Raw genomic sequence first — 15,790 nt, 5'->3', positions numbered from 1 at the left:
TTTGGGAATTAGCAGGAGATTGCAATCTAGGATCCACATGCCATAGTGAACTATAGATGCATCTAAGGAGGTTGGGCAAGGGCAAGCCTTTATAGACAAAGAGAGAAGTACATGTGAGTTGTTTTGAAACAAAAAGGTGATTGGTTCCAAGGGCTTATTTCAGGAGTTGACACCAGTTCATTAGTGAAAACAGTGTCAGGCAAGTGTTCTTGTGTGAGTGGCGAGCTGCCCTTGTGTGGCGAGCTGTCCTTGTGCTGCTGGCTGTCCTTGTGTGACTCATGTAGCAAGCTGTGGTTTGGAAAAAAGTTTCTATGGTATTTTTCATTATAGGCATAGAGCATGAGTGACCCTCCCTTATGGCCTCCCAGCTCCATTTTAGTAGGGTTAAATATAAGTGACTTATTTTGGTATTGATAATGTTTACATTTCTCCCTTTTGATCAAGTTATTGCTCTGAAAGCATCACTGCTGGATCATCCTGTGGTTAGGTTTTGATTGTTCCTCGGTACTGGGATGGACCTTTCCTGGTTGTTCTACTCTCACGTTGAAGGGAAATGACCAGCAAGTAGGAGTTGATGTAAAAACATCTTTCAGCTTCATTTAAGCAACATGGAGGTTTGGAAAGAGTGGCTCTGAGGCTAAGTCTGTCTGGAGTTCATTGTTCTGTTTCATAGGTGTTGGTTGTCATTTCGAAGCACTAGACCAGCGTTGGGCATTTTGGTGAACTCTCTATGTAGCCTGCACATCAGGCAGGAGACTTGTTCCTAGAATTTTACATTGAGTTGTTGTTCAGCTTCAGTTTATAGGGCTTTAGGAACAGAGAAGTTCTTGTTCTTTGTTCTTCAGATACTGAAGGAAGCAAGAAGAATTCAGGGTCCAATTCAGTCTACAGGTAGATTAGAAACACACAAAAGCAATGAACAGGGCTACAGTCAGATAACAGGTGTAATACAATTTTCACCTTCCTTTAGAAGCATAATTTCTTTTCTACAGTTACCCCCATTTTTACTAAAGATAATCACAATAAGACAAATTTGTTTACTAAGTAAGTTTAGCCTCATCAAGTTTGGCCTTGATGCATAAGTGCATCAAGAATAGTGGTTGACCACGTAGGCTCCTTTGAAGCTTGTTCTGCTAGAACTTTTGATAAGAATCTCAGCCTGACTTTTAAAAGTCTCTCAAGGCTAGGAGGCCAAATCAAGACAAACCTCAGTTTGGCTGAAGTAACTTTATGTGCATTTTCAAATATGACATCCAAGTCAAAGCCTTAGTAATATAACCAATTTTAAGTATTGTATCCTGTTATAAAGAGAGCATATTTTATTGAACTTATATAAATAACTATATTATCATAAAAATAAGAATGCTTATGGATAGTTTTAGAATTCTGGTTGGATCAGGAAAGGAGAAAAAGCAAATATTTTAATTTTGTTCACAAGAGTATACTTTATTATATTGTTGTAAACTATAGATAACATACAAGGAAAAAGTTTCCTTAAATCTAGAAAACAAAACATTTAAAGAACCAGTGAAATTTCAAGTAAAAATTATAAAAACCCATTATTCTTTTTCATCCGTTCGTTCAGCCTCATGTAATTAATTCTTGTTCTGCTTGATCTTTGTTAGCAGTTTCACAAACTCTGTTTCTTCTTTAGTGTCCTGGACATTTTTCCTTAGTCCAATGGTTTGATCTTGAAGTTATCAGAAACCTGTAACTTGTCAGAATTCTTTCCATCCTTTCTGTGAACCTCCTTGAAGAAAAAGCAATTTTTGGACTGTAGCTGATTGCAAATGCGTTTAGAAAAGTACCAACACCATAACATTCCATGGATGATAAGGACTTAGAATGGCCATGGTTAAAAATCTGAAGAGAGTTTATTATAACCAGCAATTTACAGATAAATTTCATTGTTTCTATGGCATATATCATTTTAACATAATAACCAAATATTATACTAAGACATATCGGAATTCTAGCAATTTTGTACAATTTTAGGAACATTTATATCAAAACTATATTTATAAATATAACTTAAAGATTTGGCACCACTTATTATTGGATAATGTTTCCCATGCATTTTAACATATTGAATAAACCCAATTAGTTTAACACCTCTTTTACAAGGTGAGGGACATATCCTTTGTTGCTTCCAAGGGCCCAGCTGGAAAGACCCAAAGTAAATTCAAGGTCAAAAAGACTCAATTTAGAATTTGATTTTGGGAAGCTGTCAAAACTGTCAAAAGGTTTAAAACCCTTGATCAAAGTAGAATCACTGGTCACTGTAAAATAATTGTCATTCATTTAACCAGAGTGATAATTAAAATTCTTCAAAAGGCAAATACATAATGGTCAAAACTTAGCTCTTTGAATATTGAGAAGATCACTTTTTTAAGTAATAAAAGAGCTAATAAAATACAGCACAGAGCACAAGAAACTATTCTGATAAAACACAAAATTTTTGTTTTCTAGGCCAATTACTAAAAAGTTAAGGAAAAACATATTAATATTAACAGTAGAGGCTAATACTGCAATATAACTGTATTTTATTAACAGAGAAGACAAAATAATAGTTTTGCACAAGTATGCTATTGATATTAAGGCTCAATTTTAGAAAAACATAAATAAATACTTTTCTTCTAATTTTAATTATCTTGATCACACAAAAATTTCTTTCATAATATTCATCTTCCATAAACCTTTTGCAATTTTCTCAAACCATTTATAATGTTCTTATTCAGTTTTATTGATATCACTTTTTTCTTTATTTATTTGTTTTGAAGCAATCCTCAACTAGCCTCCAACTAGAGAAAATTACTTTTTTAAACGACAACAAATAAAAACACATTCTCATATCTTCCTTTTAACTTTTCTCACCCAAACATATCTTACATTTTTGTACACTTTGTGTACAGAATTACATTTAGTAATTGGAATTTTAAAACTCTTGGTAACTTTAATTTCTAGTGAAAACCAGAAAACTAGAAAGTAAGCAATCATAAACTGCCTTTTACAAATTTGTGAAAACATTATTTTATAACACCTAGAAATATATGCTTCCTCATAGCACATTTTTTCAGTGTAGAATAGAGCATTTTAATTAACAGACCCAAATATCTTTTGTTCCTCTACAATGAGGAGACAAAAGTATATAAGCTTAAACTTATGTTCAACAACTAATATTTCAGCATAATATCTTATTTGGAAGTGGTCTATTAAATGAATATTCATCATTTCATTTAACTTACTATAACTGTAATGTTTTAAGTAACCAAAAAGATTTTATAAACCATTTTAAGTAGATATATCTTATAAAACATAATCATTGTTGAAAAGCTTACTTATACTCTATTTCATTTATATTTACATTTATTAATTCACTTGGTTTTAACAATTATGTTTGAATTGTTTATAAAAACTCCATAAGACATGAAACAAATGTAGTCATTATCTTACGTTATTTTTATTGTTAGTAAATCAGGCAAGTATTAAAAAATACCACAGAAGCAAAGAACCTAAAAGTTAAAACATATGGCTTTTTTTAACTCTCTTTTTTCATTGTCACATTTGTCTCACATCAAGCAATTTATTTTTACTGTATGTTTTATTCTTAGGTTACATTTACAATTTTACCATCTTAAACATACATACGCTTTTGCTTGATAAATCCAGATAGAAGAAGTCGTATGTCTGTATTATGTTTAATGTTGACAAGTCTCCAAACATGACTATTTTAATTGAACCAAAAAACTTAAACTAGCTTCTATATTTACCAAAAATTATACCAGATCACCTGAACTCAAAAAACATTTAGGTTAGTTCTGTTTTTCTGAGAAAACAGTTAATTTATAAAAGTGTTTATTTTCTTCCTTCAAGCCAAATCTTCTCGCATGTACCAATAGGACAGTTGTTCATGATGAGGGCTCTCTAAAAATACTTTTAGATACAAAAGTCCAAATATCCAAAGGTATAACCACTTCAATTGTGACTCAAAGCCAATAAGCCTTTTATGTCTTAACCATGGATACGAGAGGCTTCCACAAAAAGAGCGTGAAAAATGCAGTACCCCCCTCGAGATCCAACATCTCTCCCAAAGACGAAAAACAAAGACCTTACTTGTTAACAAGGTAGTGGAGGTTGAAACAATTGAGACAAATTCCCCTGGGAGCTGGCACTCTGGGACAAGGAGATGCTTCATGTTTCAGACTCCTAGCCAGCTGGCTCGCCATCTGATGCAAACCTGACAGTCTCCACCACCCAGCTGGTGGAGACCAGAGAAGATATCCTCACTGGCTACAGAGCTCTTGAGACATAAAACAAGATGAAAGGAGAGTCTTATTGTAACTTTTATCCTTGTGGTAAATCACACAGAAGACAGAGATTAAAAAACAAAAAAAAAGAGCGATTTCTGTTAGAACCTAGAACCAAATTCACAAGAGTCACAATTCAGAGAACAACCTTACAAATGTTTTTCTCCTGCCAATTCAAATTTAGAAAAGAAGGGACAAGAAAAAATTTTTACCTTCTTCTCTTAGCTAGGCACTATCCATAGATATTTGGGAAAGCTGGCTTTGGAAAGAATCCCCCCACCTTTTGCAGGCTTTTGTCAGGCCTCTCAGCATCTCATCCATAGGCTGGAGTGAGTGGGGTGTCCAGCCTCTTAGGGTCCCATCCTCATTGCCAGAAACTGTAAGGAAGGAAAACTTCTACTTCCATCCTTTATCCTCACAGGCTCCAGCTGTGTCTGAGAAATAAACTAACATAAGAAAGATCAACAGGAGAAAAGCATAATAAATGTTTTATGTGGCATGGGAGCCCCCATAAGAAGATGAAGACTCCACCAAATTAGTTACTGGGTTGGACAAAAAACAGTTAATTGTGAAAATGGGACTAAATTATGAGGAGGCTTAAAAGATCAGAGTTATTCCAACAAGGTCTGTATGGTATTCTGTGTCTAAACTTCTTGTCCTTGAAGATAAGGATGTTGCCTTTCCTTCCAGGAGAGGGAGGATGACTATCACATGGGAATTTCATCTTCTTTAAGAAATAACACAAGGGTCAAAGTGGCCAATTTGCACCTGCTCTTAAAAGTGCGCTTAAAAGTGCCTTTAACTTAAATAGCTGATAGGCCCAAATGGCATATTTTAACTTCTTTATTCCACCCATCTAGAACTTCCCTAGAAGATTCACATATTAAAAAATGACTTGGTGGTCATGGAGAGAAGAATTAGATTAGTAGCTGAGCAGTTTGGAAAAAAGAGGAGTTCGGCTAGAGGAAGACAAAGAGGAGGAGGAATTGTAGATAGGGGAGGGAAGGTTCTGGAGACAAATGAGTCTCAGCTAGCTTTGAGATATTTGCATTAAGGCATTTTTGAGTCCTGAATGCGTTTTGAAGCCTCAAGATGCCAATTGAAATATGTGCCCCATTCAAACTGACCTTATAGCTGCAGTCTTCTAATTTTAATTCTAAGGAAAAAACAAGCTTGGGCAGTTCAAATGGTCTCCATCTGGCCATTGGAGCTCTAAATTATCTTTGGTATAATTTGTCCATAAGCTTAAAAATTCATGGGGTGAATTATGTTTGGAAAGTCTATGTGATGCCAATTTAAATTCTGTACACAAACAACCAACCCCAAAAGAGTACACATCAGAAAGGATGCCAAATCCCCTACAAAAGTGAAACCAAAAGAATACTCAGAAGAAGGACCATGTCCTTCAGACCTATAAAACCAGATCTCGAATCAAGTCAAAGCAAGCCAAAATGAGGGTGCTCAAATCCAAGACAGAACTTAGCACCAGCAGAAAGATGATTCCTGGAAGCAGAGAGCACAATGGGCTCCAGTGGGCACTGCACGTGTTCTGCGGTCGCTGGTATGGGAAAAGGCTTGTCATTTTTGGATCCCACATCTCTAACACCAGGTTTTGCCAACCTAAAATAACAACAAAGAGAGACAGGCTTTCCAAAGAAAGAGTTTATTCTGGAATTAGCAGGAGATTGCAATCCGGGATATGCATGTTCTAGAGGACTACAGGTGCATCCCAGGAGGCTGGGGGAAGGGGAAGCTTTTAAAGACAAAAGAGAGAAGTACATGTGAGTTGTTTTGAGACAAAAAGATGATTTTTTTCTAGGGGCTTATTGCAGGAGTTGACATCAGTTCATCAGTGGAGACAGAGTGTCAGGCAAGTGTTCTTGTGTGAGTGGCTAGCTGTCCTTGTGCGGCTGGCTGTCCTTGTGCTGCTGGCTATCCTTGTGTGACTCATGTAGCAAGCTGTAGAATGGAAAACATTTCCTGTGGTATTTTTCGGTATAGGCATATGCATGAGTGCCCCTCCCTCATGGCCTTTTGGCTGCACTTTATCAGGGTTAGACATAAATGACCTCATTTTGGTATTGATAACTTTCACACCATTACTATAAATACCATGCTGCCACAGCTGGATTTCTTTAACCACTGTGTGGAGGCTGAGCTGGGATCACACTGGCCTTCTGGCGAAATCCTCTCCCTCCCAGCCCATCTGGCTTAGGCGTCATATCTCAGTGTTCCTCTATTTTCCCATTTCCAGTAGGAAAAGCTCACGAACTTGTATGATTATTCTTTGTACCAAGCAGGGCTGGTGAGAGCATGTTCTTATCCCCATAGTTCTCATCAGACCTTCTAAAGATCTCTCTCACAAATAAGAACAACTGTTATATGCTTTGATGTGATCAATTGATATTTGCTCGACCTTTCATAACCTGTGAATACAGGTGTCTTTAGGAATTGTGTTGTTATTGATCCATAAAATGCAATCTAATCCAGTGTGCTTGCATTGTGAGTGCACCTGCACTCACAAATCCACTTATCTCCTACCTGCCTTCTCCCAATCAGGTGGCCATCCTGAGCCCCTCCCACATGGACAATTTTACACCTGCCTAGCTAGGGTCATCTTGGGGAAATCACTCAAAGGTGACTACCTCTAGGGTTTGGATATAGACCAACTTGGGAGGGATTACCAACCAACCTTTGGTGGGGAACTGCCTATCTCTTGGGGAGAATTCATCCTAAGGGAAGGGTGAGTCCCGTGTGGGGCATCAGATTCAGCAGTAAGGGCAGAGGCAGGTGGCAGAGGGGATGGAGGTCTGAGTGTGGTGTGGTGACAGCTGTTTAAATCCTGGACACCCCCTCCCCACCCCAGCATGCATAGGCATTGGAAGAAGAGGTTGGTCACCAGTTTAAAAGTTCTGCCTTCCAAAACTGGGCAGGACTCCTGTGCCCAGGCAAGCTGCTAGAGAATGCTTTGGGCTGAAAGGGTGGAGCACTGAGAAGGAGGAGCCACTTTGAGTGTGTGGTAGAACAGGGCAGGGGCAGACCTGCAGCAGTCCCCAGGAGTGGCCCAGGGCACTGGAGGGGTTGAGCTTTGCTGTGAAGAGAGCAGAGGGGTGGGGGAGGGGCCTTCAGTGGCTGGGGCTGATTCAGTCTCCCTCCCAGGGGTACTGGAGGACACACTTGCCAGGATTTGAAGTCCTGAGCTTGGGTTGGTGGAATTTTCAATCTGGAACCACTTGGGTCAAAGGGCAAATTGACTCCACTTACACCATGCCTTAGGCAGCTCAGGCTGCTCTAACAAAATACCACAGAGGGGATGGCTCAAAAATAGACCCTTCTTTCTCACAGCTCTGGAGGTTGGAAAGTCCAATAACAGGGTTCCAGCTGATTTCCATTCCTGGTGGGGTCCTCTTTCTGGCTTTCAGAGGTTTCCTTTTCGCAGTGTCCTCACATGGCTGAGAGAGGAAGCTCTGGTGTCTTCCTCCTGTTATAAGGATGCTGATCCCATCATGGGGGACCCATACTCATGATCTCATCTAAACATAGTTACCTCCTAAACACCCCACTTCCTAATGCCATCAGATTGGGTGTTAGGGTTTCAACATATGGATTTGGGAGGACACACATATTTGGACTGTAGGAGTCCATGGCTGGGGAGGAGGGGGTTGGTACAGCTGAGGTGGAGGGTTCTGGCACATTGCACAAACTTAGTCAAACTCCTTTCCTTGGTTTTCCATTTTATACCCATGAGATGATAGCTGAAGGCAGATATTAAGCGACATCTTGTAAGATAAGATAACTAACGGTATTTTCTCCTCTTGGTGTTGAGTTTTCCTTATTTGACCCTCTCCTCTTTGTCTGCTCCTTCTTGACACCCCATGACCCCAACAAAGGTTCCTTGCTACCAGGTACGCAAAGACTTACCTCCCACTCCTGCACTCACCCAGCTCGTGTGTGACACTCTGGGTAGGGCTTAGGGCTATGAGTCTGAGAGATGGTGCAATCCCTACTGCTTCTCCTTCCACACATGCTCTATTTCCATTTCAGGCAAAGAGTTCTTTTTCCTGGACAGTGAAACCAGATTGTGCAAAATAGCTCCTGAAGGCTGGAGAGAGCAGCCTCAGAAGACCTCCATGAATACCTTCACACTCTTCCTGAGGATAAAGTTCTTTGTCAGCCACTATGGGCTGCTCCAGTGAGTGCTGCAAACCTGTTCATTTGTTCCTTAAGGGATTTATGTATGTCCAGGCTGACGGAGAGGTAATGGATCGACAAGTGCTTTGCAAACTGTAAATTACATACAAATAACAATAGCTATTGTGGTTGGTTTTCTGTTGATTGGATTCTGATCAAGATAGAACAAAGGAGGAAAATCAGTTTTTTTATGCAGGCCCTGGTCAGAATGAGAATATGCCCTTTGTTTCAGACATACTCCACTCAAGGTCAAAATTCTCTGTCTGTGACCCCAAAATGCCCCCTCACCCCCAACACACAACTCAGCAGCCCAGTCATGAGGGTTGGAGGACAGAGACATGGGTTTGCAGTTTGATCCCTGCGTCTTTATTTCTTTGTTTATTAGAAACACCACCGAACTGGTTATTAGCTTCCTCACTCAAACCAGAGCAAGAAACACCTCTGTAAGTTTGTATGAAGTGACTGGCATAGAGTGGCCCTAAACGAGGGGCAGGAGGCATGGTATAAATGCAGGAGACCACACTTGTCTTGCTGGCATTGCCTCTGAATTCTATTGAGTTGCATCTCGTCTTCCCTACTTTTCCAACTTCCCACACTGAGAAAACCCACTGGTGCTAACATTCTCCCTTTCCCTTAGCAACCCAGCCCTTTTTATTGCTACTTCTTTTCCAGGCACAGCCTGACAAGGCACCAGTTTTACCTGCAGCTTCGGAAAGATATCCTGGAGGAGAGGCTGTACTGCAATGAAGAGATACTGCTGCAGCTGGGGGTCCTTGCCTTGCAGGCTGAGTTTGGCAATTACCCTAAGGAGGTAGGGGTGAACACCAGGGGCCTTTGTGTGGGGTCACTGGAAAAACAGTTACAGGATGAGGGCATGTGTTAGTAATGTGGAGACTCTGCTTTGAGTATTGTTAGCATCTACCAGCTAGATTGGAGTAAACTACATTTATCCATCCATCCATCCATCCATCCATCCATCCATCCATCCATCCATCCACCTATTCATTGATTCATCCATCCACTCATCTACCTATTCACCTGTCTATCATTCCATCCATCCATCCATCCACCCACCTACCTATTCATATATCCATCCATCTATCCATCCATCCATCCATCCATCCATCCATCCATCCATCCATCCAACCATCCATCCATCCACCCACCCACCCACCTATTCATCTATCCATTGATCTATCCTCCCATCCATCCATCCATCCACTCACCCACCCATCTACCCATCCATCCACCCATCCATCTACCTATCCATCCATCTACCCACCCAGCCACCCACACACCCATCCACCTATTCATCCAGAAAGCATTCACTGAGCTCTCTTTGCTAGGCTCTGGGAGGCACAAAGATGAATAAATCCAGTTTATACTCAGTAATATAGTTCTAGTCTAGTTCTAGTCCAATAGGTACCTCCTAAAGACAGTAATTTACTAATTTATTGAATTCCTATCATAATCACCATCATCAATAGTAATAGCCAACCTTTATTTTTAAAATTTATTTATATTAATTTATTCATTTTATTTCAATAGGCTTTTGGAGAACAGGTGGTGTTTGGTTACATGAATAAGTTTTTTAGTGTTGATTACTGAAATTTTGGTGCATTCATCACCTGAGCAGTGTACACTGCACCCAACATGTAGTCTTTTATCCCTCATCCTCCCAACCCTTTCCCCAAGTCCCCAAAGTCCATTGTATCATTCTTATGTTTTCGCATTCTCATAGCTTAGCTCGCACTTATGAGTGAGAACATATGATGTTTGGTTTCCCATTCCTGAGTTACTTCACTTAGAATAATGGTCTCTAATTCCACCTAGGCTGCTGTGAATGCCATTATGTCATTCCTTTTTATGGAATGAGTGGATAAAGAAATTGTGGTATATATATACATATACCACTCATTGATTGATGGGTATTTGGGCTGGTTCCATATTTTTGCAATTGGGAATTGTGCTGCTATAAACATGCGTGTGCAAGTATCTTTTATGTATAATAACTTCTTTTCCTCTGGGTAGATACTCAGTAGTGGGATTGCTAGTTCAAATGGTAGTTCTACTTTTAGTTCTTTAAGGACTCTCCACACTGCTTTCCATAGTGGTTGTACTAGCTTACATTCCCACCAGCAGTATAAAAGTGTTCCCTTTTTACCACATCCATGCCAACATCTATCATTTTTTGATTTTTTGGTTATGGCCGTTCTTGCAGGAGTGAGGTGGTACCACATTGTGGTTTTGATTTGCATTTCCTTGATCATTAGTGATGTGGAGCATTTTTTCATGTGTTTGTTGACCATTTGTATATCTTCTTTTGAGAATTGTCTATTCATGTCCTTAGTCTACTTTCTGATGAAATCGTTTGCTTTTTTCTTGCTGATTTGTTTGAGTTCTTTGTAGGTTCTGGATATTAGTCCTTTGTTGGATGTATAGATTGCAAAGATTTTCTCCTATTTTGTGGGTTGTGTTTTTACTCTGCTGATTGCTTCTTTTGCTGTGCAGAAGCTTTTTAGTTTAATTAAGACCCATCTATTTATCTTTGTTTTTGTTACATTTGCTTTTGGATTCTTGGTCATGAAGTCTTTGTCTAAGCCAATATCCAGAAGGGTTTTTCTGGTGTTATCTTCTCAAATTTTTATGTTTTCAGGTTTTAGATTTAAGTCTTTGATCCATCTTGAGTTGATTTTTGTATAAGGTGAGAGATGAGGATCCAGTTTCATTCTTCTGTGTGTGGCTAGCCAATTATCCCAGCACCATTTGTTGAATAGGGTGTCCTTTCCCCTCTTTATGTTTTTGTTTGCTTTGTCAAAAATCAATTGATTGTAAGTATTTGGCTTTATTTCTGGGATTTCTATTTTGTTCCATTGGTCTATATGCCTATTTTTATACCAGTACCATGCTGTTCTGGTGACTATGGCCTTATGGTGTAGTTTGAAGTCAGGTAATGTAATGTCTCCAGATTTGTTCTTTTTGGTTAGTCTTGCTTTGAATAGTAATAGCCAACCTTTATTAAAAGATCACTATGTACCTGGCATTTACCCAGACATTGTCGATTTATGTTAACTCACTTAGCTCTTGCAGCAACATTGTAAGTTGGTGTGATAATATCATAGAGTTGATATTATCACTCAATTTTCTAGAAGAGTGATCTGAAGTTCATGTGGCTAGTACATTGTAAAGTCTAAATTTGAGCCCAGACGTGTTACTCCAAGGCCAATACTGATTTTTCTGGGATACACTCTTCTCAAATGGCAATCCTAATCTTGGCCAAGCCCTTGCCCCTGCAGCAGAATCATATGCAAGTTTCTTTGATTTAACTGCCAATGATAGTCCTCTGTTATAATCCTCAGGGAGTTAATAGTGTTAGTAACTTGTTATTTAATGTTCAGATGCCTATTAATAGGGAAGGATTATGCTAATGTATTTACCTACCTAATTATGATTTAAAATGGGGACACAAGGCAGGAAGGAGAAACCAACCACTTGAGCTGTTATGACAGCAGTGTAATTTTGCTGTTGGGGTTTATGAAGCACTTCCCTCATCTCTTGCCCATGTTCTGGATGAAGGGAAAGGCTTGGGAACAGACCTCAACAGAGACCGAGCAGTGTGACCCAGCAGTGTGACATGACATCTGAATGTGGAGTCCATCTCTGGGTGTATCAGTAGGAGCAGAGAGGAAGGAGCAAGGGAGGGGAAGTCTCCACCAATCTCTTCCCTGGTGACCTCCCAGCCAGCATGCTGGGCTTTACCTTGGAGAGCACTCACCACTGTCATGTGACAAAAGCTGGGTGCCACTGGGGAATGCTTAGCTTGGAGAAGAGATGGTCTTCTTCAAGAGGACTGCATGAAGGAGGAATTCACTGCTAAAAAAAAAAAAAAGAAAGAAAGAAATGTTAACCACACACACTCCACCCTTCTGCCCCAGAAATCTTCAAAAGGACCTTTAAATCCTTGAGATCCTAAGAACTGGCATGTTACTGAGCCTTTGAATGCCCTTTCCCATAATGTCTGCACATCCGTCTCAACCTTATATACCTTTCAAGGTCAGTACCAACCCCCTAGAGTTCCTGGCCCCACAAGTGGACCCTCTGGATACTTTTTCGCATCCTCCCATACCTTTGGCCAGCACAGGTGATTGGACAGCATTCTGTTGATTAGAAGTGATAGAAAATCAAGCTCAGGCTGGCTTGAATAAAACATGTCATTTATTGTCTTGCAAAATTGAAGGGTTCTGGTTCTTTCTCAGCCTCCCAGCATCCCTGTGACAAGCTTCCAGCCCAATCACTCTTACTTTGGAGCCTGGGTGATAGGAACTCACATGATGTCAGTAGGACTTGGGCTTCTTGTGTCTCTGAGCTGTGCTCTCCTCTGTCACATTTGCCTTTCATGGCTTTCCAATTCCACTCTCCAGGTTCCAGCCCTGTGCAAGAGAGAGAGTCTCTCCCTTGGAAATGGCATGGAAATCCTGGGCTTCTTTCCCATTGGTGCTGATAGAGTCATGTGCCCACCTGAAGCCAATCATTGTGTAGGGAGATGTTATGCTTTGATTGGTTAGACTTGAGTCTAACCCCATGGTCACCCTAGGAGGCAGGGATAGAGCTCACACTGCCAAGTGCATAGACTGAGAGGGAGGAAGGATGGTTTCCCATTTCCTCCTTCAAAAAGAAAGTGAATAGTCACATGTGGCCAGAAATACATGTCCACCACCAGTGGGCACTTAGTGGTCAGAGATGCTACATCATTGGTGAATAAAGGAGCCATGTTTACCTAAAGTTCTAGTCTGCTACGTCATCGGGGTCTGGCCTTATGTTATAGGCTGAGTCTTGAGCCCCAAAATTCATATGTAGAACCCCTAATTAACAGTACTTGGAGTTAGGGCCTTTAAAAAGGTGATTAATTTGAGATGAGGCTGTTAGGGTGGGCCCTAATCCAATCTGACTGGTGCCCTTATAAGAAGAAGAAATTTGGACACACAAAGAAACACCATGGAGGCACAAGTACAGAGGAAAGGCCATGTGAGGACACAGGGAGAAGGGGGCTTTCTGCAAGCCAAGGAGAGAGTCCTTGGGAGAAACCAAACCTGCAGAAGCCTTGGTCTTGGACTTCCAGTCCCCAGAACTATGAGAAAATGAACTTCTATTGTTTAAGCCCCCTAGTTAGTATTTGTTATGGCAACCCTAGTAGATTAGTACACCCTGAGTCTGAGAAGGAGGAACAGTAGCCACCACTGGGTGTGGACACCTTCGCAGAGTTCTGTGTCTTATTCCTCACAGGGTATGTGGGATAGAGAGGGAGGGCTGTGAGTGACCTTGGTTATAACTTGCCTGCCTTGGTTCTGGAACTGGATTAAAGAGCAAGGACAAGCCCAACAGTTAAAACAGTGAGAACAGTGGGTTGTAAAATTTTTTTTGCCATGTCCCATGGATAAATGGACATTAAAACCCAACACCTACACATGTATATAGAACAGAACTGAAGCAAAAACCTCAGGAAATAAGGAGCATCCTTTCTATATGCAATGCACATTGATATCTCCTATTATATTCTCATTCGTTTTAAAAATGCTGATTATGGGCCCCTAAATTGATTCATAGCTCACCAATTGGTTACAGACTGCGGTTTGAAAACACTTCTCAGACTCTCCCAACATTGTCTTGCTTTCCTCCCGGTACAGCTTCAGAAGGCGCTGCTGTGTCCTGGGGTCTTCAAAGTCCCTGTGTATTCCCTCACCCTGCTGGGTTTTTGTTCACAGCATTTGTCATCATGTGGGATGATGAATTCATTTTATTGGTCATTAGCATAGAAAACACCTGAGGGTAAGGGTGTTTTTGTCTGTTTGGTGTAGCCATTTATCCAGCACCAAAGCAGTACTTGAAGCGCAGGGAGTTTGTTCAAGAGCTGTGAATGAATGGAGTTGAAACTCCCGGACTGGAAGACACTACAGATAACAGTAATCCATCAGAACATCAGCAGCTGGCTTGTCAGGGGACTGTATAGTTCAATTCCCCTCTGTCCCCTCTCCTGGGACTACCCTGGTCCATGGATACTGGAACTTCACTTTCTGCCCCTGACACTGCCCCAGGGAGGCAGTGTCTCAGAGCTGGCCTGGCCCTCTTAACCTCCTCCCTGCCCTTTTGACAATCCCTGTCACTGCTTACCCTTGAACTCCTTCCTGCCCTCAGTACCCAGGCCTGGGGCCCTTTTCATGCCTAGGCCAGCTTCGGGTGGTGCTACATTGGGAAGTCCTGGGAGGAGGGTGCTCTAAGCCAGGAGTGTCCCAGTGAATCAGTTGACATTCTTGCTGTGGCCTCTGGTTCAGTAGCTATATGGCCTTGGCATGTTTTCTCTCTGAGCCTTGGCTTTTTCATCTGCAAAATGGAAAATAATCATCAATCTCTTGCAAAACTGCTGTAAGGGTGAAAGATGGCAATTCATGTGTGGTATCTAGCATGTGACAACTGCTGCTTGCAAGCTTTCCTTCTACCTCCTCCAGCATTATAGTGCTCTGATATAAAATGACACAACTGCTAACCTTCAGTCTGTAGATTCAGATACAGGATGTCAAACCTGAGTTTAACTCTAGCACTTAGAGTTGTTGGGGACAGCAGGCCAGATCCACTGGAGGCAGGTGGGAGTTTGAGTAATAGTCTCTTACTCAGACCTGGAGTCAGTCCAGCAGAGTCTCTTGCCCCAGGGTTCCAGGGGCCCAGACCTGTCTCTATGAGCCTATAATAGTCTAGGTTCTCTAGAGAAACAGAACTGATAAGATATCCATCTATTTATCATCTATCTATCTATCTATCTATCTATCTATCTATCTATCCATCATCTATGTATCTATCATCTGCCTATGTATCTGTCTATTATCTATCTGTCATCTATATGTCTTTCTGTCTGTCTATCTAGAGATGTATTAGAAGGCATTGGCTCATGTGGTTATGTAGGCTGAGAAGCCTCAAGCTGTGTAGTTAGCAGGCTGTAAACCCGGGAGGGCCAATGGTGCAGTTCCAGTCCAAGCCTGAATCCAAAGGCAAGAGAAGAACTGGCATGAAGAGAGTCAGGCAGAGAGGAGCTGCTTCTCTACAGGAGGGTCAGTCTTTTTGTTTAATTCAGTCCTTCAACAGATTGAATGAGGTACATTCACTTTAGGGAGGGCCATCTGCTTTACTCAGTCTATGGATTTAACTGTCAGTCATGTCCAAAAACACCCTCACAGTCACACCCAGAATATTTGACCAAATATCTGGGCACCCCATGGCCCAGTCAAGTTGACACATAAAAT

The 15,790-nt window shown here is 40.9% G+C and overlaps 1 protein-coding gene across 6 annotated transcripts in view; it reads left to right on the top strand.

Annotated features, from left to right (window-relative positions):
• The window catches only part of FRMPD2 (FERM and PDZ domain containing 2), a 118,337-nt gene that overhangs the window by 43,274 nt on the left and 59,273 nt on the right, over positions 1-15,790 (top strand). For all 6 annotated transcript variants that reach the window (NM_001318191.1, NM_001018071.4, XM_047424652.1 and 3 more), the window contains 2 exon segments: positions 8,352-8,499; positions 9,171-9,309. In NM_001318191.1, the coding sequence (NP_001305120.1) occupies positions 8,352-8,499; positions 9,171-9,309 (287 nt within the window).

Source organism: Homo sapiens, chromosome 10, assembly GCF_000001405.40.
Source record: "Homo sapiens chromosome 10, GRCh38.p14 Primary Assembly".
Taxonomy (NCBI): Eukaryota; Metazoa; Chordata; class Mammalia; order Primates; family Hominidae; genus Homo; species Homo sapiens.
Note: the sequence above shows the minus strand (reverse complement) of the source record. Positions and strands in the feature narration are given on the sequence as shown.